The sequence below is a fragment of the Homo sapiens genome, chromosome 4 (genome assembly GCF_000001405.40).
Source record: "Homo sapiens chromosome 4, GRCh38.p14 Primary Assembly".
Lineage (NCBI taxonomy): Eukaryota > Metazoa > Chordata > Mammalia > Primates > Hominidae > Homo > Homo sapiens.
In genome coordinates, this window is record NC_000004.12 from 112,935,173 (window position 1) to 112,959,221 (window position 24,049).

Genomic DNA, 24,049 nt, shown 5'->3' on the forward strand with positions numbered 1-24,049 from the left:
TAGTGCCTTATAAGTTCTTGGCTTTACTTCTAGTGAGATAGGGTGCCACAGGAGGGCTTCTAACTGAGATGTGACATGATCCAAACTGTATTTTAAATATATTTTCTTTCATTCAGATTTACTGCTTTGAAAAGTGGAAGTTAAACAGAAATCTAAGTGTAAAACTGTGAAGGCAAATATATAATCTTTGGTTTATTTGAATCACTATTCTTTGAGTCCTTCTGATGGGGCAGGCATAGTGCCTAATTCTAGGAGAAAGATGTCTGAGCCAGGTACTTGCCTTTGAGATCATCTGTCTGGTGTCTTTTCTTCTCAGTTCTGTTATTATTGAAGCACACAATAAGCATAACAATGACAATGACAAATCCCCTTTGAGAGTCTTGCACAGTTAATACTGTGAAGAATATAAAAATAGGCCTAACACTTTGGGAGGCCGAGGCAGGTGGATTGCTTTAGCTTGGCAGTTTGAGACCAGCCTGGGCAACATGGCAAAACCCCGTCTTTATAAAAAATACAAAAATTAGTTGGGTGTGGTGGCGCACACCTGTATTCACAGCTACTGGGGAGGCTGAAGCAAAAGAATTGCTTGAACCATGGGAGGCAGAGGTTGCAGTGAGCCGAGATCATGCCACTGCATTCCAGCCTGGGCAAAAGACTGAGACCTTGTCTCAAAACAAACAAACAAACAAACAAACAAACAAACTCAACCAAGAATATAGAAATATACAATAAGACCCCTCAAAGAACTTAACCATCATTCACAGCAAGAGACAAGGAAAGACATACAGAAATTAAAAATTTACAAAGCAACATCAGTGATGGAAAATAAAGAAAGCTAATCTTTCCTGGGACAGGTTAGTCTCAGAAAGACTGTTGCTAAGTTAATCTGTCACTAGCTCAAAATGACAGTCTGTCAGTGGCCACTGTCACCACCTATAGTGTAGGCAGCTTCTGCGTTCTTTTTTCCTGAAGCATTGCTTTGTCTGTCTCTGAAATTATGTTAATTGAAAGTTTGTAAATGGAAGAGCTTCAGCATTGTACAGAACCAAATGGCTGATGACTTGGGAAGTTAAGTGTAAAGAGCTCTGGGATGTGAGAAGTAGAAACAATGATAACACTAATAATTAATATGTATTGAGCACTTTCTATGTGCTAGATACTTTTCTAATCATTATCCTTTTTTTTTTTTTTGAGATGGAGTCCCACTCTGTCACCCAGGCTGGAGTGTAGTGGCGTGATCTCAGCTCACTGCAGCCTCCGCCTCCGGCGTTCAAGCGATCCTCCTGCCTCAGCCTCCTGAGTAGCTGGGATTACAGGCGCGTGCCACCACACCTGGCTAATTTTTGTATTTTTAGTAGAGATAGGGTTTTACCATGTGGATCAGGCTGGTCTCGAACTCCAGACCTCGTAATCTGCCTGCCTCGGCTTCCCAAAGTGCTGGGATTACAGGCGTGAGCCACCACGCCCGGCCAGCATTATCCATTTTTAAACTCGTTTTAGTCTTGCAAACTTATGAGGTACTATTACTATTCCTATTTCACCAAGATGGAGGTCAATAATCTACACAGATCATGTTCCAAACTACTATACCAATAAAGTTTATTTATAATTTTTTTTTTGTTTGTTTGTTTTTTGAGACAAGGTCTCACTCTGTTGCCCAGGCTGTAGTGCAGTGGCGTGATCATAGCTCATTGCAGCCTCAATCTCCGGGGCTCAAGTGATTCTCCACTTCGGCCTCCCAAGAAGTTGGGACTACAGGCATGCACCATCGTGCCTGGCTAATTTTTTTAGTTTTTATTTTTAGCAGAGACAAGGTCTTACTGTGTTGCTCAGGCTGGTCTTGGACTGAACTCAAGCAATCCTCCCGCCTCTGCCTCCCAAAGTGCTGGAATCATAGACATGAGCCATCACGCCTGGCCTACTTATAGTTTTTAAGCACTTTTAAAATTTTTGTCCAACAAATAGATCTGAATTTGGTTCTGAAAGCTTACAAGTATCCTAGCAGGGGATCGAAGGATGGGTAAATTAGTGATGGGTGACAAAAATCTCACCTTCCATGACTTACCTTTTGGATGGCAGGCTCTATATGGAAGCGGCTATAAAAGTACTCAAGATATGTGAGTATAGAATTTCTTTGTAAAACCACAATTATTGTCTTTTTTTTTTTTTTTTGAGACACAGTCTTGCTTTCTCCACCAGGCTGGAGTACAGTGGTGCGATCTTGGCTCACTGCAACCCTCTGCCTCCTGGGTTCAAGTGATTCTCATGCTTCAGCCTCCTGAGTAGCTGGGATTACAGGCACCTGCCACCACCTCCAGATAATTTTTGTGTTTTTAGTAGAGACTGGGTTTCGCCATGTTGGCCAGGCTGGTCTCCAACTCCTGACCTCAGGTGATCCACCCGCCTCGGCCTCCCAAAGTGCTGATATTACAGGCGTGAGCCACCGCGCCCGGCCTTATTACCTTTTTTGACTTGGACATTTTTCGGTCTGATTAGTTTGGTTTCCTTGCCTGAAGCAGTTACATTCATTATTGTTATGCTCTGAAGAAATTCCTATTCTTTAGGCCTAGCCTACCCTGAAGGTCTATTGGCTATGATGTTTTCAGTGGTACAAGAGACCCTCAAATAGCTCATGTAATGGATATGGCTTATAGAATTGAGGTGGTCCTTAGAAAAGATGGCCTCTGCAACTTATTAGCTGTCTTAGTGGCCTTGGGCAAGTTATTCCATCTTTTTATAACAGTTTCCCCAGCTGTGAATGAAAATAATAATAGAATCTAACTCATAGTGTTGTTATGAGTATGAATGAATATTTTAAAACACTTGGAACAGTTTATTATACATAGTGGGCACAAAGTTAAAAAAATAAGTTGAAAAATACTATTTACTATATTCATAATCCCCCAAACCATGCATTTTCTCTTAACCAAAATGTCATGTTAGAATCATGTGACTACATGTGTCCACAATAGCACTTTCACAGAGTTTAAATCATTTCATCTTTATAAGACCCTCTCAGGTGAGTAAAGATGTATTACTCTATGTTTTTCTAACGAGAAACTGAGGTTCATGGTGATTTGGTGAGTTACCCCTGGTGACTCATCTTAAGTGGATTAAAGGTGAACTAAAGCTAGGACTTGAACACACATCTCTAGATTCCTTCTCCAGACTTCTTTTTTCCATCATTCTGTACTATTTCTTTTCAGGAGTTCTGTTCATTCATGGTGAGGAATCTATCTACCGCTATATGTGTTGGGGTATGATTAAGATCATGCCTGAACTGTCTTATGAGAGAAGGTGGTATGTTCCAGCAATCTACTTTTATCTAATCTTTCTGTATATTTTTTGTTTTCCCCAAAATGATATATTTTAAGCTGTATTTTGGTCATCCCAAAAATCAAGTAATGGCAAAATTAAAGCAAACAAAAAGAATGCATTCCAGTGGAGGCAAGCTAAGTAAATTTTTATTCGGCTCAATCAGACATTGCCACCTAGTGGATTACTTCTAGATAGCAGAGATAAGAAAAGATTTAGAGGAGGCTTGAAGATATAAATGAAGAATGCTGAAATAAATAGAGAATGAAGAAAGGGGAGATTTAAGACATGGGTCTGTTTACCACTTTAGAGTCTCTAGTACCCTTTTAACAGCTCATCACTGAAATGTTACCCTAGGATGTAAACTCCATGAAGGTAAAAATTTTTCTGTTCTGTTGACTACTGTGTCTCCAGAATCTAGAACAGTACCTGCCACATAGCAGGAACTCAGTGAATTAATGTGAAAGTTGATTTCTTATATTTAAAATAAAAAGATTATTTACATTTTTCCTTTCACTGGAAATTTTTTTATAATTCATATATGAAAACAAGTTTGTCAGAGTTGGTTTTCTTTTTTGTGCGTTATAGTTTTGTACCCTAGCTACTATTGTAAAGTTAGTATGCTAATATTGTGTGAAACTTAAAACAAATATTTTATTTTAAAATTGTAATGGTTTATGGAAATATTTTCATGGCTATTTTGTTAAGTTTGCTTGCCTCTTAGAAATGAGAAAGCTAATAGACATATTAGTGAAGTCAAATTTAGAAGAAACTACAAATTTTAAAAAGTATCAGGGAATAGTTCATTCTTTCTTTCTTTATTTTTATTTATTTATTTTGAGACGGAGTTTCACTCTTGTTGCCCAGGCTGGAGTGCAGTGGTGTGATCTCGGCTCGCTGCAGCCTCCGCCTCCCTTGTTCAAGCGATTCTCCTGTCTCAGCCTCCCAAGTAGCTGGGATTACAGGCGTGTGCCACCATGCCTGGCTAATTTTTTTTTTGTATTTTTAGTAGAGACAGGGTTTCGCCATGTTGGCCAGGCTGGTCTCAACCTCCTGACCTCAGGTGATCCTCCTGCCTCAGCCTCCCAAAGTGCTGGGATTACAGGCTTAAGCCACCATGCCCGGCCAGTTCATTCTTTAAAAATACAATTTTATTTTAAAGTTGGACATTCATTAAAATGACTCATAATTCAAGAATTGCAAAAAGGCATACTGTGAAAAATCTCCCTCCTTATATCTGTCTTCCAGCTACCCAATGCCCTTCCTGGAAGCCACCAAGGTTATCTTTCCATGTGTTCTTCCTGAGACTTCTTAGGTGTTTGCCTGTTTATGAGCTATTACTATAAGTAGCAACTATACAAATTATACCTATTATTCTAAAGAACAAAATTTGATGTAAAACTTAGAGTTGTTTCAACGATCATAATATGCTTTCAGTTATTAACAAAAATGTCAGTCTTTTTTGAATGAAAAATACCATTTGGTATCCCTTTGATTATATTTAAATGACAGTTCTTATTTTAGCTTTGTCAGTTGTTTAAGTTAGTTTTATAATAAATTTGTATTTGTATATAAATTATTCACACAGATTCCCAGTATGTTGGTTGACAGTTTTACTAGGTCATAAACTTCCACCATGTCATCTCGCGTTTCCATTGCCTTAGTAATTTGCTGCAATCACTACAGCAAACAAGAAAAACACAATTACAGGCATTTTACTTTCATATCAAATATTTATTTGCCTAGTAGGCCAATTTTGGCTTAATTTCTTAATTTTGCTATTAAGAAAATGGTAAAGGAAAGTCAGATACGTATTAATTTGAGAAGCCGTTCTTAAATACTCTTATAAGCCTAAAACTGTGCTAGGAACTGTAGAAATCACCTAATTAACTTAGAACATTTGTGGGACAAATTCTACCTAGGGACACACAATAAAAGGAGCTAGTGACATTAAAAAATTTGGCTCTATCTGAACACACACAGAGAAGATCTAATTATTTTTAAAAAATTACAGACATGAGATCACTTTCACTGCTGTACTTGGTTATAATGAGAAGTGATGTTATTAGCATTTTTCAGACTCTCTCAAATGCCAGAGGCATTGTGTAGAAAATTAGAGTAGCCATCAGTATCATGCTGTTGAATAACTGCTGTAGGATTTTATTTAGCATACAAACCTCTGAACCATAACTACAATGCTAGCTCAGTATTTACATTTTTAAACAAAAAGACCCAAAGTGAAGGAATCTATTGCAAATCTGTAAACTCTTTTTTGCATGAAAAAATATAATTTTTAGTTGAGGCAGCTTAAAGCTCATTGATTTGTTCCTGAGGCATCTATTTTCTCTTGATGAAAGCACAGCCGAACAGGGATTCTCGTGTCAAAGAGTATGATTTATTTATGTTCTGAATCACAGCCGCTAATGCTCACATTTCTATTAAAAACTTAACATCTATGGGAGAAAGGGACAAATACTTTCAAGTTCCTCATGAGGTTGTTGATAAGATTCTGGCATTTTTAAAGTTGAGAAAACACACTGAAAAATTGTGAGAAGAGTTTGGCTACTTTAGCATAAAAGTTACTAAATGCACCTTTAAGATGTTCATATTCTTCCTTTATACTGTACTCTATTAAAATCATATGGGTAGAAGAATAGTTAATATGAGAAAATGTTCATGTTATTTTGTTGCCTAAAAAAGGATATTAAAAAAGAACATTTAACTATATGAACCTAATTCGGTTAAAAAGATTTATATATCTTTTCATAAAAGATACAGAAAAGATATATAGGTATATATATAAAGATATATAAATTTATGTATTTATAAAAGATATATAAATATACTACATATAAAAAGTTATATATTAAATATATTATATATAATATACATATTAAAAAGAGTATGAACTATATGAACCTAATTAGTTAAAAAGATATATTTTTTGTATATATACATATATCTTTTATAAATATATCTTTATATATAGATATATAAATAAAGGTATGTAAATATATACTAAATATATAGAAGCTATATATAATTAAAAACATATTTAGTATATACATATATCTCTATAAATATATCTTTATATAAAAAGGATATATAAAGATATATAAAAGGATATAAATATGTAAATGTAAATATATAAATATATAAATATATAGATATATATAAATATATATAAAAGGATATATAAAGATATATAAAAGGATATATAAAGATATATTTATAAAAATTATATGATCTATACACATATTGATATATAGTACATATATATCTTTTAAACCATATTACATATACATTTACGTGTGTATATTTTTTAATGTATGCATGGGGAAAAACTGGGAAGCTGTACATCAAAATTTTGTCAGAAGTTTGCTGTTTGCCTCAGTTTCTTCATTTAAAAGTTAACATAATAGGACCTACTTCATAAGGTTGTTATAAAGATTAAATAAAATAATACTTATAATATTTATAAAATGCTTAGAACAATAGCTGGCACAAATGATAGCTATTATTGTTGTTTTATTTTTATGTGTGTTTGATAAAACTTGTTTTCTTTTGTTTCCTTATTTTCCTAATTTTCTATAATCAACATTACTTTTGTAACTGAGTTATTTAAAAAATATATTATCTACTTCTAGGATTCTTTAGTTCCCAAGCTCTGTTATCCAAATTTTAGAAGGATAGATAGGATCCTATCATTCTCCTTTGCAGCACAAACTGATACTGCAATTAATTAATTATCTGTTTGAGGGTTGTCTTTTCCAGTAAGCTGAAAGCTCCACTCAGTGGCGCTGTGTTGTCTTCCTGATTTTTGTTTCCTTGTGCCTAATGCTTTTCCTGTTCCAAGTCAGTGCTCAATATTTGTCGAGAGAATGAAAGTTAAGTTTATGTTCAAAGCAATTAATAGTCACTTTGTATTTGTGATTTAGTTTTATGTTTTATATCTTTAAATGATATTATGCCCATTTTGTAGATGAGAAAACTGGGCAAACTCACAACAAGCAAGGGGTGGGTCAGGATTTGAACCCAGGTAGTCTTACTAAAGTGTACTGCCGCTTATGAGAAAAATGAGGATAAATGACCAAAGCAATACTATATAAGGAATTACATCAATAATATAGGACATATGTGAAATATTTATTGGGATTAAAAAGATGAAAGCTAAGAGAAATGAAACTGAATATGTGGCACATCTAGCATGCCTTATGGTTGGGTTTGTGTGTGTACACATATCAAATGCTTTTCTTATAATTTCGCAAATAAGTAAGTTTTATTTGTATCGACTTTAGTCTTATATTTATTTCCTTATCTTTTTGTATTCCTTTTTCTTCATAAAATATATTAAGAAAAAAAATTCCTCTATAAATTAGTCCTAACAATATCTTTTTTAGAGGGAGGGGAGCTTTTAAACTAACTGCAATCTAAAGTATTATCAACATGAAGAAGTGCTAAATGGAACTTAGTTTTACTTGCCCAACATATAAATGATTAAACTTGGTAACCATCAATCGCTTGCTTCTTCTCTGAATATGAAAGCTGTGGTGAACAAGGTCTTGCTTCCACTCTCACTCCATTTTTGCAGCCCTTAATCTTTCTTTTTCTTTCTCCAGACTTTTGTGAACAGGGGCGTGGCAGAGTCTAAATATGGTAATGAACCTCTCACTCTGAAAACAGATTTAAGCAATGAGATGGGGCTTCAACAGTTAGCTAATTCTTCTTATCCTACATCATAGATGCTAATGTCTCAAATGTAAAACTTGAAAGGCAAGTGTATTCTCTGTGAGAACTCTCTTGTAATAAACTGTAAGTTCTTTTGCTTCTTTCTTTCCTCCTTTCTACCCTCCCTCCCTGCCTCTCTCCATCCCTTCTTTCTACTGCTTGCAAATATGGGCAGTGTCAATAAACAATTTACTCTGAAGATTGAACAATTGCTGAAAAAAATTAGAGTGGTTGGAGAATCAGATTCCTGTTACTGATCTCTTTGCTGTTAATTTTCTCTGTGGCTGTTGTGTGATAGCGGAGGAAGCCTTGACTGTAAGTCATAAGGTCTGGATTTCAGTCCTAAACTCAATTTCTGTATGGTTCTGTCTCCTTACCTTTAAAACAGTCGCATTAGAAATCTAAGGATCTGTTTAGCTCTAACGCTTCTAATTTTATTATATATTTTACTACAGATGTGTGTGTGAGTGTGTATACAAGATGACAATGTCAAGATTAACAGTGTTTCACAAAAATAATAGTAAAATCGAGCCTACATTGTTTTTCTTCTTTCCCCTTTACCTTGTTTTGCTGTAAACATTTGGGGGAGAGGGTAAGGGTAGTGGGAAGAGATTACTTTGAGAGAATATAATTTAGTTTATCTTCTGGCACTCTTGTTAATAATTTTTAATTAAGAAAGCAGAGTTGGTATTCAGTAACAAGCTTTATGGATGCAAACTTAATTTGTATGACAGATGTAATTTAGATGACCTCAGACTAAACAAAATGGAGATGGTTTTTGGTGGTCCTTAATTACAGAAGCCTGAGGTCTATTTTGCAGAATTTTTCAGTCCATTGAACTAATATTTATATCCAGCAAGGACTAAAAAACACATGTATAAAGGTTATCCACATAGCAATCAGGCATTAAATCCTTTCCCCTTACTGGACAAGCCTTTCACTTATTGTTCCAGGAGGGCCTGGCATGCATCCATTTATTATGGCTTTTTCCTAAGTCATAAATGATATATTGTATTAGCTGCTTTGTACCATTCTCTTGTCTATTTGTTCACTATGATCTTATCCACAGACTATGGTACATGTATTTTCATTTCCAGTTAATAAGCAGAGGAAGTGAATTTTGCAGTTGACAGAACTGCCTAACACAATATTTTCTTTAACTTGGGTAAATTAAACTATCCATTAATTAGGAATTTTTAAAAATGTAAACAGCTTACTTCTTTGTGATCAGGATAATAGGAAGTTACTATTAATAATGAATACATGTAATCATTGCTACAGTACATAAAAGATATCCGTAACTCCAAGAGTTTAGGAGCTTATTAACCCTAATTTTGTCTTTTATGTCCATATTCTCCTCTGTCCCACCCCCCTTCCCCATTGGGACCTCTAAATGGGTGGATATCTAGGGTTTGATGAGCAGGCTAGTTGTATGCACATGATAATTGGTATGTGATTCCAGGGTTAAAGTTTAGCATAGAAAAAAAATGAAAAGATTAGCTTGTTTGCAATGAAGAGAGCTGAGGCAGATAACAGAATAAATACATGACTTGTAGAGAATGTAAGAGGGAATGTGAGAGGGAGCTAATCAGTGGACTGACCTTACCTTTAAGGAAAATTATCTAATTCAGGTAGCTCTCCCTCTGAGAGTTGATTATCTTTTAGGAAAAAGTACCTTTCTGAAAAAGGCAGTGTCATATTGACAGTTGACTTTCTTAGACCAAGAGTGTGATAGGCAAGAATTTATATGAGTTATTACAAAATATTTAAGCAACTGTGTATCAGTTAGAATGGGCTACGTTGTGCTGTAGTAACAAATAGCCCCTAACCTTAGTTGCTTACAATCACAAAGGTGTATCTTTTCCTCATACCACATGTATCTTGGGTTGGCAGGGGCTCTGCTCCACATTGTCCTCATTTGAGGCAGAGCTTCCACCATCTGGAATAATGCTGCCTGGCCTGGCAGTAGGAATAAACATGACAAAATATGTTCTGAGTGTGAAAGAGTTCTCCCTAGAAGTGATGCATGTTACTTTGGCTCACATTTCATTGGCCAAAGCAAGTGTAGGAAAGGGCTGTCCCATCTTGTGCCCAGAAGGAGGAGAACCAGAAATACTGGTGAATTGCACCTCTCAAAACCAAAAAGAGTAAATAATATTTCTGACTACCATTTAGTATCAAGATTTTAAAAGTAATAATTAGGTGAGGAAAAATAGACATAGTGCCTCATTACAAAAATTATTTAATAAATCGCAGGGTCAGAGCTACCTTTTCTGATTGGTAACCACAAGCAGTCATTCTAAGAAGCGGACTTGGGAATGCATCTGTACACATCAGTTGGAGGAACCTTGACAAAACCGAAAAGAGTCTATTAATTCCACATAATCCCTGCAAAAAAGGCTTATTTCCTTTGTCACTGGGTAAAATAATTCAACACGAGTACATTGACAGACACAGGACACCACCCCTGCCAAGAATTCAGTTCAACAGACTCCAGTTTGAAAAATATAACCATATAGTCTTTATCATGAGTGATGGTTGTCTTATAATGCCCATTTTACACATGAGGAGCCGAAGCTTTAAGACATTATGTCACCTTTCCCAAGTTACACAGCTCAGAAGTGACAGAGCCTTGCCTAGAACCCATGTTCCTCTGACATCAAAGTGCATGCTCTCATCCATATACTCTGCTACCTTGCAACAAGACTGGCACAGAGAAATACCTGAACCCGGGGTGGTTCAGGAAACAGTGACTGGGAGAGAGTTAGTGTAGCTGAGTCAGCTGGACCCAGGAGAGGAGGCAATGATCTTGTCACTCTGCAAGTAATCATGCTCATAATCTTAGTAGAACAAAGAAGTTGTTTTTAAATTAGTGATTTTCTGGGCTCAGGTTCCAGAAACTCAGTTGCCTTTCCTGAACTTTGAGAGGGGTTTGTTGCCTTTCCTCGGCTTTGAGAGGGGCTTGTTGAGCGGGAGACAGGAATATCCCAGAACACAAACACCAGAGCCTTTCGTGGAAAGGAGCCCATGTCAACAGAGTCTGCATCCCCATGCCTGCCTGTGGTGGGGTGGAGGATGGGGTCGGCTTTCAGGAGCTGGAGCACTGGGGAGTGAGCAAGCTGTGATGCTGTTAGCCTGCCGCCTGTCCTAAGTGCAGCCCAAGTCAGAGCAGAGGTGCAGATGGCCAGGGCTTGTGAGGATTCTTGTAAATTGAAGACTGTCTATAATTTGATTAAGGCGCAGACAGCTAACGGATCTTTAAAGGAGTGTTTAAATCAAATCACCAAACAAGGAAGGTGGAATCTGGGGAGAATTAGAAGGCAAACGTGGTGGTGTTCTCATCAATCAGATGCAGCTGTCCATGCACTATTTCTAACTTACAAATAAATTAAGTTTATACAGGAAACTGGGAGCATATCAGATCAGCTAATTTTGGAATTCATAAGTGTAAAAATCTAATTTTGCTTAAAATTAACTACTAAACAGTGACAGGTACAATGCCAAGTTCTTAGGCAGTTGTTTTGAATCCATATACAACCTTATGAGGTAGGTATGATAATTCTATTTTAGAGGTAAGCTGACTGAAACCTGAAGAGATTATGTAATTTCCCCAAAGTTATAAAGCTAGAAAGTAGTAATGTTCTTCAAACATGTGCTTTCTTTTAAAATGCACTTCCTTAGGTGATTGTGCTCAGTGGATCAATTATTCTTTTAAGTTGAAGAATAACAGCTTTTCTTAAGATCCCTACTCAACCCATATTTTCTAGACAACCTTTGCCAGTTAACTCTGGTATGAAGCTGATGCAGAAACAACAAATCAGTATGATTTTCTCTTGCATGATTCATTCTTGTGAATGGGTATTGCATGCTTGTTGGGTCCATATTTTCTTCACATAATATTTTATTCTCTTTGGGGGTAGGAACCATAACTAAACAGTTATTTAACCCCCATTATTCTTAATGTTATGCCCTTCAATGAATAGCTGATTTTATGAAGCGTAGTTACTTTATGATTAGGCTTTTTATGTCGCTCATTAAGAGATGACTTATGACCAAAATTTTAATGGAAATCTTTGCTTTGGGATCCTGCTATCACCTAAGGTGCTTACAATTTGTTCTGAGTTATGCTACAAAATGACTACAATTATTTACCTATATTTCCATAAGCTTAAAGTTTGGAAAAGCGAAGCATGCAGGCATCTGGACCAAAGCTGCAGAGAGAAGATGACTGAAATTTGCACAAATGAAACTTACAAGTGTATTGTTTTCAGACCATTAGAAGGTATATATTTAATATAGATATATATAATAGAGTTTAGAACATTAATATATAAAATGAAAATAAGTGGGTGCAGTTTCTAGTAACTACCCAGAGAGCTAGGGGGAAGCAGCAGAAAGCATGCAGGGCAAAGACTGTTCCTTAGGCTTGAGTTCACAGCCAGGTGTTTCACTAATAGCTGTGTTACCTTCAGCAATTTATATAATCACTTTGAAACTTACTTAAAAATATTTACTACATGTTGTATGTCATTTGTAACTGCAGTGTTCTTCTTTGGATGAAATGTGTGTTAAACATCTAGACCTAAGCATGCATGCAGTGAACAATGATTACTATTATTACTACTGAAGCCCAACACAGGCTGTTTTGATGTCAGTGAATACAGTGCAGATGTCATCTTTTCCGTATTTCTGGAGAACAGATTTTGGCAAATAGGAGAACCTTAAGATATTCATTAACCTATGACAAGATTTAAAATATTTCGTTCTACTTAGTGCTCTGAGCACTCTTCCCTCCTTGACCCCTGCCATTTTGTAATATGCGCTTCCTAATGTATACATGCAAACCCACAATTATCACTTTCTTCATTTTTCTGTTCAAATTAGAAATCAGAGTAGGGAAAGATGGGAGATGGACAAAAGTGTTTGTAGGTTGTGGGTAATTTCTCGCAGAGGATCAGGTCTGTGCCATCTGTCATGGATACCTGGGCATTAGCAGTCTGTAAGGCTGCTTGAGGGGCTGGCAGCTGCCTTGCCTATTTACAAAAAAAACAGCACTTTGGAGAAGCCATATGTATATATATGATTCCAAGTTATATCTTGAACATGTCTGCTTTCTACATATCATTCATTTGTGAGAGTTGATATAACATTTTAACTGTTTGGATTAAAGTTGAACATGTTTTTTTTTTATGTTTGGATAATGAAAAGTAACAGAAATTGGTAATTAAAGCTGGGTGGGCCCTGATGAAGGAAGAGACAGACAGATCAATGAGCCAGAACAGAATCCGGAAGGAAATTCAATTACATCATAAATGAGTAACTGCCCTGATTCAATGAAGGGGTTGCACACAGAAAACTTTTTATTTTCCCTCAACATTTCATTCAAACAAGCTCTGCCATCTCTTTTTCCTGGCCCTGGCTATCATCTCAAGTCATCTTATAGCTTTTAAATCCCTGTTTTTGGTAATCAAATGGTCTCATTTTCAGATATTAAAAAGTCTAGGCCATATATATCAAAACGTTATTGTTATATGCAGTTTAATGGCTTTGTCTCCTTTCAGCTCAGGTCTGACCTATGATTGCCTCTGCCCCATATTCTCCTTGTTTTTAGATGTTTAGACTTTCTATGGTTGAGGGAATGAGGCTAGTGAGTAGAGAGATAGAGGCAAAGGCATTTTCACCTATTGCTTTTGGTGCTTTCCTGGCTATCAAATGTCCTCTTCATCTCAGGCCTTCAGATGCTGCCTCTTCTCTGATGCCACTGGAGTTCTTTGAAGATCTCCCCTGGGATTTCTCCTATTAACTTTCAGAGTCCCCCTCACCCCTGAGCTTTTACCCTAGGAGGTACAGCTCCAGCCATTTACTGTTGGGGTCCTTTTGCACCAGCAGGCAGCAGTGTTCTTGGGCTGTGCCTGTCAAGTGAAGATGACATAAGCCTAGATATCTGCTTGAATTGTTTCGCTGATTTCATCTTGAAAGAAGGGGCTGGTATCTCTCCAGGTAAGTAAAACTTGCAAACATCTCCAAAGTGGTTCACTTGGTCCCTTCTTTTCCTGCATGGCTTCACTTAGGAAAAACACCAATAAAGCATTCTCTTCCTAAAATTTTCTGTAAATAAACTGTCCTCTTAAGGAGTCTATAAGCTTTTCTAATATGGGATAGGTGTTTAGAATATGTTCAGTAGCTGGGTTTTGTAATCTTTTAATTGCTGTGGAGATGATGGATCTATTGATTATTTTTGGAACTAATGTGGATGCTACTGACTTGTTAACTCAGTTTGGGGCCTCAGCTTAAATTCTGAGCCAACACAAAAGAGTTTAATTCCACATTCTTTTTCAAATGTAATCAAACATGTTGGGGAAATATCTCTGTAAATGACATTGGAATATCTTGCTAACCATTTAGAACAAAAATAATTGATCTCTATTTGGGTACCACACACAAAAATAAATCTGAGATGGATTAAAGATTAAAATGACAAAACTGCTAGTAAAACAAGATATTGTCATCTTGGTCTGGAATAAGCCTTTCTAAATTTGATGCCAAAGGTAAGAAACAAACAGGAAAAAGAATGCCCAATTAGCATTCGTAACAATTAAAAAGTTTCACATGGCATGCACACAACACAAAAGACAAATTTTATAGTGGAGAAATAATTTGCAAAAAGGGTTACTATTCTCAATATATAATGAGATATCATTAAGAAAAATATAAATATGAGAAAAATGAAGGAATTTAGAAGTAGGCAACTCAAAAGAGAAGAAATGCAGTTGATCAATAAACATAATTAGATGTTCAGTCTTGCAAATAATTCACTTTTTTGGTCTGCTTGGAATGCTTTCCCCTTTTCTTCACAATTTTTGTAAACCTGATTCCTTTTCACAAGGGTCTTCAGTCTAATGTCCCTCATCTCTGTAACTCCATGCTTCACTTCTTACCTGCCTCTCTCTATTTGAATATAAGCTTTTTGAGGTCAGATACCTAATCTATGCCTTTTTTCCCCCAGTGCCTATTTAGTGCTTGGCCATAGTAGACTCTCAAATGTTTGTTGAGTAAATGTGTAAATAAATGAAGGAACTGATAGAACGTAAATGGAAACAATTACATACAGTATTTTCCTATTGTATTAAGAAAGGTTAAAAAGTAAGGCTGGGTGCGGTGGCTCACGCCCGTAATCCCAGCACTTTGGGAGGCTGAGGTGGGCGGATCATGAGGTCAGGAGATCGAGACCATCCTGGCTAACACAGTGAAACCCTGTCTCTACTAAAAATACAAAAAATTAGCCTGGCATGGTGGCATGCACCTGTAGCCCCAGCTACTCAGGAGGCTGAGGCAGGAGAATCACTTGAACCTGGGAGGTGGAGGTTGCAGTGAGCCGAGATCATGCCACTGCACTCCAGCCTGGGTGACAGAGCGAGACTCTGTCTCAAAAAGAAAAAAAAAAAAAAGAAAAAAAGAAAGGTTAAAAAATAAAAATACCTAGCATGAGTGAAATAACGTATTATCATTCTTGGAGGTAAAAATTAGCACAGTATTTCGGTAGGAAAATTTGGCAAGTTGAATCAAATTTTAAAATGTGTGCCTCGGCCGGGCGCGGTGGCTCACGCCTGTAATCCCAGCACTTTGGGAGGCCGAAGCGGGCGGATCACGAGGTCAGGAGATCGAGACCATCCCGGCTAAAACGGTGAAACCCCGTCTCTACTAAAAATACAAAAAATTAGCCGGGCGTAGTGGCGGGCGCCTGTAGTCCCAGCTACTTGGGAGGCTGAGGCAGGAGAATGGCGTGAACCCGGGAGGCGGAGCTTGCAGTGAGCCGAGATCCCGCCACTGCACTCCAGCCTGGGCGACAGAGCGAGCCTCCGTCTCAAAAAAAAAAAAAAAAAAAAAAAAATGTGTGCCTCTTTGACAGTAATTTAATGCTTGGAAGTTTATCCTAAGAAAATTACTGAACTAATGTACAGAGATACATTTGGTTGTGTAACAAAGTATTGTTTATGATAGGGAAAAATTACTAGCAAATGAGATGTTCATTGATAATCAGGAAATTGATATTTTGTAAAACATTCAAACAAATGAATATACTTAGTTGTTAAAAATGATGTTATAGATCTGTGTTTATTGACATAAAAAGGTATTTGTGATATAGGAGAAAAAAATTATACTGAGCAGGAGTTATTTTGATAACTAGCTGGTATAAAAAAGGTTTTTAAAAAGATCATAATTTCCTTTTCCAGTGTTATTTAATGATTCAAATGAAAAGAAAACAGTTGAAGTAATTTCTTTGTAAATTCCTTTTCCTTCTAATTTGTTTTTCTGATTATTTTCTTCATTCTTGTTACTGCCACCTAGTGGATGATGATTGGTTTGCTTTTTTATTGTTCGAGATTATGGTTTATTTTTTCCCCGAAGGTAGCTCTTTCTAAGGGTTTAAAAAAAAAATCACCAGTGGTGTGCTAGTAAACATTTTACTTCCAGCTATCCAAAGGCATTGTGTACATAAGTATACATTCATAAACTTCTAATAAGCTTTACTTATAAAGGATGCACACAATTTATGTAGAGGGAGCACATATTTTACGAGTAATAAGAAAACAGAAAATACTCTTTATTTAAATTATAAATAGCTAATTGATTATAACAAATTGCTTTCATTGCTTTTTGCTGAACTCCTGTATCTGTAGCAAACCTGTGGCTGCAGTTCAACCATGATTTGACACATGGAGCTGTATGCCAATTTATTAACCCTTTACCAAATATCATTAAATCTGACGTGTGATGTACCATTGGACTATTTCTCACCATTGTACAAATTATCTTCATTGAACTCAAATCTCTTTCAGCTTTAGCACTAAACCAAACCCTTCTTTATAGTGCTTGTAACTTTATGTTATGCAAATATTCCCACTAACGTTGATGTCAATCTACCAATGTGAAAACACAGAACCTGGATTTGGGGACAGATGCACAGTAGCACTCCATTATGTAGTATTTTCACTTTGCATATGTGATAGACATAATAGCTTCAAAGCATAGATAACGGTAAAATGTAGTAAATGTAGTAAAATAAATAGGGAGTGATGTTTAAAATGTATATTTCACTATTTTTAATATAACTTGTTTGACTATAAGTTTATATAACTTAACTATTAAAACTGGCTTGCAAAATTGAAAATTTAACAGTTGGCTTTCACAATCTTGCATGAGCAAATGCCACACCACTGAATATAGCTGTTATCTTTGCTTTTTGAGTTGTCTTTATTGTTCTGGGGAAGCTGCAGAGCCATGAAAGAGACCATTCTTTGAGCTCTAATTTGTATCTGAGCAGCATATTATGACATGTTTTATTGTTATCTGTCGTTGGTACATGTTAAGGAAGAGTAATACCATGATGTAATCCTACTCTTCCTTAACATGTGTGTTTTAAGCCTTTGAGCATCTTTTTAAATAAAAGGATGAACATGTGAAATATATATGCAAAGTTCTAAATTATTGAGCAAAATTATTATCATACAATTACTTCAACTAAAATATCTCTTAGAGATACTTTTATAAAATAATCCAGAAGGATTTACCTTTTAATATGCTTCCTCATATTGTCTCATCTGACCCTCCTACAAATCTGTAAGGGGCATATTATTATTTTCATCTTACAGGTTAGGAAATGGGGAAACAGAGAGGTAAAGTGACTTGACCAAGTCAAGAGAGATTAGGAGATTATATTAGTAATGATAATAACAGCAGCAACAGCATCACTACAGAAATTGTTGACAAAGTACCCAGGATATGCCAAGCACTATTCTAAATACACTGCGGTTATTGTTTCATTTAATCCCATGAAACATACCATAAATCTCCACTTTTCAAGTAAGAAACCCAGACCAGAGAGGTAGAGCAATTTGCTCAAGGTTACATAAGTGGGGACACTGGGGTTCAAAGCCAGATATATCTGATTCCAGAACTTAACTCCCAGAGGCACTATAATCTCCTGCCTCTCATTATTAATCTGGATTTCCACTATATTCTGCATTCACAGATGCAGGTCTAGAAATGCAGTTTAAGTTTATCCATTGTTTAGGCAAGCATAATTTATAGCTTGAATATTGTAAAAATAATTATTCATGTTTCTATTTTGCATAGTTCTAGAAGGAAATAAAGTTCTGTTTTAAGGTGTTTGCTTCTGTGCAAGATGCACAGGCCAGAGTCTCTTATGACATTCGAAGTAGGGAGATGTTAATGATGAGGACAGCCCTGCCTATTGTTCCCAAGTCTCCAGAGACTTCCAAGGCTTCCAGTCCTTACACAATTGTTGGGAGAATCCCATTACTTGTTTGTGGAGAGGATTACATACGTTTGGTTTGCATTAATTGCAGAGCTTTGCCGTTAGCATTACTCATATGAGACTCTTTCAGATAGTTATTAATTTCCATTTAAGGAAATTAAACTTTTGACATTCTCTAGAGGTCTAATTATTGACTGGCTGTTTCCTGACTCTACTCTGGCAGAGGTAGTTCTTTTGCCTTGTCGGCACTAAATCTTGACTCCTGAATTTTGACGAGGATTATTACCAGGTGCTTGGTGGTTTAATAAGCATCTCATATATGGTGAAAATAAACAAACCAGTCATAGAGATTTTATTGACATTGTGCAAAAATCCCAGTTTTTCAGTTTTTTAGGCAGTTGAAGTCACATAAACAGATTATTTATTTATTTATTTCTTCTCTGTCTCCCCCCGCCCCCGTCTTTCTTTCTTATAAATGTAAAGGCAGAAAAAAAAGAATTTAGAATATATGATAGACTGGTACTTTATAGACTCAGAAAAATGCAGAACTATTTCTATTTTAAACTCAAACAAGATTTTAGTACCTAATGGTCATCACTGTGTGAACAATTTAATCCCTTTTTCATAGAATTAAATTTGCCAGTGGATATTGTTGTCCCACCCCTGTATCCTTCCCTTTCTTCTTCCTTTGTCCCTTCATTTCTCCTCCCCTCCCCTCCCATCCCTCCCTCCCTCCCTTCCTTCCTTCCTTCCTTGCTTCCTTCCTACCTTCCTTCCTTCCTTTTCAATAACATGTCAGTCCTGGTATTAGTTCCCTCTACAGAGTTAGCAGGGCAAAAAGCTCTTTCATTAAGTTATTTTCTGAACCAAGGCAAGATGTTATTTGGACTCTATTTATACCATTTACTGTTTGTGGAAACAATGAGATAAGTATTTAATGAAAAGGATTGTGCAGCAGAAATGTGACAGCTCATATCCATTACATAGTTCGAGTATAAGCACACTACTACAAACTCTAAATTGTTAGACAGATGGTGGCTTTTGGGCTTCATTCAACAGAAAATAGCACTAATTCTCTAAACTAGCAATTCCTGGGTTTTACTACTCATTGATTTCTTAATAGATTTAATTTTATTTCACCATTAACCAACACTTATTTCTAAATAAATAAGAATAGCAAAATATAAATATATTCTTTGACAAGGTCTTTTTAAATTAGAAAAGTTTTGGTTTTAGAAATGGCAAAGTTCAGAGAATTATCTGGTAGTCTCTCCATTTTGTAGTAATCATCATACAGTATTATAAATGGAGTTTGCTTGCTGATATAAGTGTAAACTGGAATAATACTTTTGGAAAATAATTTGGAAATATATATTAAAAGCATGAAAAAATATACAGGCAATAATCAACATCTATGAATCAGTTATAGGGAAATAATGCCAAATTTGTAAAAAACTGCATGACCAAATATGTTTGTTATTGTAAAATATGTACATCTTTGGCAAGAGGTGTACAGTTAGAGTAACTATGCCCACATTACAACTATGTTAACAAGAGGCAATAAAATGGAAATGACAATGTAAGTGAAAAATAGGATGAAAATTATTCTTTGATATAAATCACATAAAGTTCATGAAAAACAAGCTACAGCTTAAACTATTTGTGGAAGAAAATATTCAATATGCTAATAGTTGCTGTGATCTACATACTTTTTATCTTTTTTAATTTAAAAAGGTCAATTATTACTTTTATAATAAAAATATGAAAAATAATAAGTGACATTGCAGACCAAAAACTAGACATCAAAGTAACCTAGGCCTAAGGATTGCAAAAATCATCTTTTACTTCTAGTATAATTAAAGATTATGCTCGAGGCAAAAGTGTTAATAGTGAAAAGACTAGAACTTTTGAGATTATATAGTCTAAATTTCCATTTGGCATGTAGATATGAGAGCGTTAATAGTAATGAAGACTAACACCTTAGCCTTTTAATTCTCAGTTCAAAATCTTTTAAACCATAAAACATTTTATTGTTTAAAAAAGGTTGTTTTTTTTTTTAAATGAATGTGAATTTATTGTGGACTTGATTGCTTAAAGAACTGTCAGTTTACACCCGGGTATTCAGAAAGCCTAATATGATGGGATTCTAGTCTACAGTGTCATGAATGTTACTTATTGAAAACAAATATGCTATATGTTGTAATATGCCAGGAATAATAAAATGTTATGCATATAATTACCAATATTTATGTGCTAATCTTTGATAATTAGTAGGGTTAGGGAGAGAAGGTAAAATGAAGGATTAGTATCCCTATTTTGGAAGCTTGTATGGATGTCATCTTGTTTTCTAAACAAATTTTCTTATAGCAAGTATAGGGATTCATTTATTCACTTATTTAATGCGTGCTTATCAATCACCTACTATGTGCCAGTTACTGTGCTTACTGCCAGGAAGTAATGGTAACCAAAACCACAAAAATCATTAAAGTAATTTCTTTTCTGCTCTTGCCCCTGAGGTGAGACATCACATTTTATACAGTAGTCCCCTCTGATTCTTGGGAATATATTTCAAGATCCCCAGGGGATGCCTGAAACCTCAGATAGTACCAACCAATTGCCATCTACCTGTGCAAACAGAGCACATTTCTGTTTGCCTTTTACCTACAAATTTAATGTCTTCTACCTACAAATTTAATGTCTTTTTCATCTTAACTAAGCACTTATCATGCACTATGGCTGTAAGTTTTTGCAGGTTGAGGTACGACAGCACAACTAGCACAAATTTCATTTTCCTTCTTCACAATTCCATGGATAGAACATTTATAGATCTTAGCAATCTCAGCATATGATTTTTTTTTCCTTCTTTAAGTTGAGAACTTTCACCTTTTCACTTAAAGGAAGCACTCTACAGCTTCTCTTTGTCACACCTGAATTGCCAGCATCACTACGCTTGTGCTTTGTGGTCGCTATTAGGTAAAATAAGTGTGACTTGAAAAGAAGCACTGCCACATCCAACAGTCGATCTGATAATGGAGAAGGCTTCTAAGTGACTAGTGGGCGGGCAGCATAGACAGCGTGGATCTGCTGGACAAAAGGATAATTCATGTCCTAAGCAGCATGAGATTTCATCACACTACTCAAAATGGCACGCAGTTTAAAACTTATGAATTATTTATTTCTTTCCACTTAATGTTTTCAGAACTTGATTGATTGATGGTAATAAATCACAGAAGTGAAACTTCGGATAAGGGAGACCACTGTAAATATTGGGCATCCCTAAAAGATTCGTTAGAAATGATCCCTAAGTCACTAGTCCCTGGGGTCCTGATGCAGAAACTGAAACTGAATGAAGAGAATGAAGTGGGTAAAGATGTTAAGTGTTCTGGGTATTAATTCAACTTAATGTAAGGTTAGGGAGGTAGGCACTACCTCTACTATGTATTATATGATTTTTTTATTGACGTTGTCTCTTAAATTATTGTATCCTCTAAATTATCTGCACTATTGCTCTTGTTTTTTTTTTTTTTTTTTTTTTTTTAATTGATCATTCTTGGGTGTTTCTCGCAGAGGGGGATTTGGCAGGGTCATAGGACAATAGTGGAGGGAAGGTCAGCAGATAAACAAGTGAACAAAGGTCTCTGGTTTTCCTAGGCAGAGGACCCTGCGGCCTTCCGCAGTGTTTGTGTCCCTGGGTACTTGAGATTAGGGAGTGGTGATGACTCTTAACGAGCATGCTGCCTTCAAGCATCTGTTTAACAAAGCACATCTTGCACCACCCTTAATCCATTTAACCCTGAGTGGACACAGCACATGTTTCAGAGAGCACAGGGTTAGGGGTAAGATCACAGATCAACAGGATCACAAGGCAGAAGAATTTTTCTTAGTACAGAACAAAATGAAAAGTCTCCCATGTCTACTTCTTTCTACACATACACAGCAACCATCCGATTTCTCAATCTTTTCCCCGCCTTTCCCCCCTTTCTATTCCACAAAACCACCATTGTCATCATGGCCCGTTCTCAATGAGCTGTTGGGTACACCTCCCAGACGGGGTGGTGGCCGGGCAGAAGGGCTCCTCACTTCCCAGTAGGGGCGGCCGGGCAGAGGCGCCCCTCACCTCCCGGACGGGGCGGCTGGCCGGGCGGGGGGCTGACCCCCCCACCTCCCTCCCGGACGGGGCGGCTGGCTGGGCGGGGGGCTGACCCCCCCACCTCCCTCCCGGACGGGGTGGCTGCCGGGCGGAGACGCTCCTCACTTCCCAGACGGGGTGGCTGCCGGGCGGAGGGGCTCCTCACTTCTCAGACGGGGCGGCTGCCGGGCGGAGGGGCTCCTCACTTCTCAGACGGGGCGGTTGCCAGGCAGAGGGTCTCCTCACTTCTCAGACGGGGCAGCCGGGCAGAGATGCTCCTCACCTCCCAGACGGGGTCGCGGCCAGGTAGAGGCGCTCCTCACATCCCAGACGGGGCGGCGGGGCAGAGGCGCTCCCCACGTCTCAGACGATGGGCGGCGGGGCAGAGACGCTCCTCACTTCCTAGATGGGTTGGTGGCCGGGAAGAGGCGCTCCTCACTTCCTAGATGGGATGGCGGCCGGGCAGAGACGCTCCTCACTTTCCAGACTGGGCAGCCAGGCAGAGGGGCTCCTCACGTCCCAGACGATGGGCGGCCAGGCAGAGAGGCTCCTCACTTCCCAGACGGGGTGGCGGCCGGGCAGAGGCTGCAATCTCGGCACTTTGGAGGCCAAGGCAGGCGGCTGGGAGGTGGAGGTTGTAGCGAGCCGAGATCACGCCATTGCACTCCAGCCTGGGCACCATTGAGCACTGAGTGAACCAGACTCCATCTGCAATCCCGGCACCTCGGGAGGCCGAGGCTGGCGGATCACTCGCGGTTAGGAGCTGGAGACCAGCCCGGCCAACACAGCGAAACCCCATCTCCACCAAAAAAATACGAAAAACAGCCAGGCGTGGCGGCGTGCGCCTGCAATCGCAGGCACTCGGCAGGCTGAGGCAGGAGAATCAGGCAGGGAGGCTGCAGCGAGCCGAGATGGCAGCAGTACAGTCCAGCTTCGGCTCGGCATCAGAGGGAGACCTTGGAAAGAGAGGGAGAGGGAGACCGTGGGGAGAGGGAGAGGGGGGAGAGGGAGAGGGAGAGGGAGAGGGCTGCTCTTGTTTTAAAGATTTAATACTGCATGTTAATCAATTTTTTGTTACCCTTTTTGAGTTGACTCTACCTGAATACCATGTTATGATGCATTATTAAGATATGGACCAAATGTTTATTCCTTCTCAATGATAATGATTGTCTTTTGAAATTTGAAATCTTAAAAAAATCTATTTTGGGGGTACAAGAGAAGATTTCTTTTTCTTTTTTTTTGGTGATGAAGCCTTGCTCTTATCCCCCAGGCTGGAGTGCGATGGCATGATCTTGGCTCACTGCAACTTCCGCCTCCTGGGTTCCAGCAATTCTCCTGCCTCAGCCTCCTGAGTAGCTGGGATTACAGGTGCCCGCCACCACGCCCGGCTGATTTTTTGTATTTTTAGTAGAGGCGGGGTTTCACCATGTTGGCCAGGCTGGTCTTGAACTCCTGACCTCAGGTGATCCGCCCGCCTCGGCCTCCCAAAGTGCTGGGATTACACACGTGAGCCACCGCGCCTGGCCAACAGCAGATTTATTATATGCTTATATTGGGTAGTGGCATAAAGTCTGGGCTTTTAGTGTACTCATCACTGG

At 37.7% G+C, this 24,049-nt stretch overlaps 1 protein-coding gene across 43 annotated transcripts in view, besides 1 other annotated feature; it reads left to right on the forward strand.

Annotated features, from left to right (window-relative positions):
* Nucleotides 1-24,049, forward strand: part of ANK2 (ankyrin 2) — a 678,115-nt gene that overhangs the window by 229,551 nt on the left and 424,515 nt on the right. The gene's annotated exons all lie outside the window — the stretch shown is intronic.
* Nucleotides 22,904-23,571: an enhancer, noted in NCBI's record as "H3K27ac-H3K4me1 hESC enhancer chr4:113879232-113879899 (GRCh37/hg19 assembly coordinates)". NCBI's record gives its function as "activates a minimal SCP1, AML or CMV promoter by ChIP-STARR-seq in primed H9 embryonic stem cells {active_cell/tissue: H9 hESC(primed)}" and the evidence as "EXISTENCE:reporter gene assay evidence [ECO:0000049][PMID:30033119]".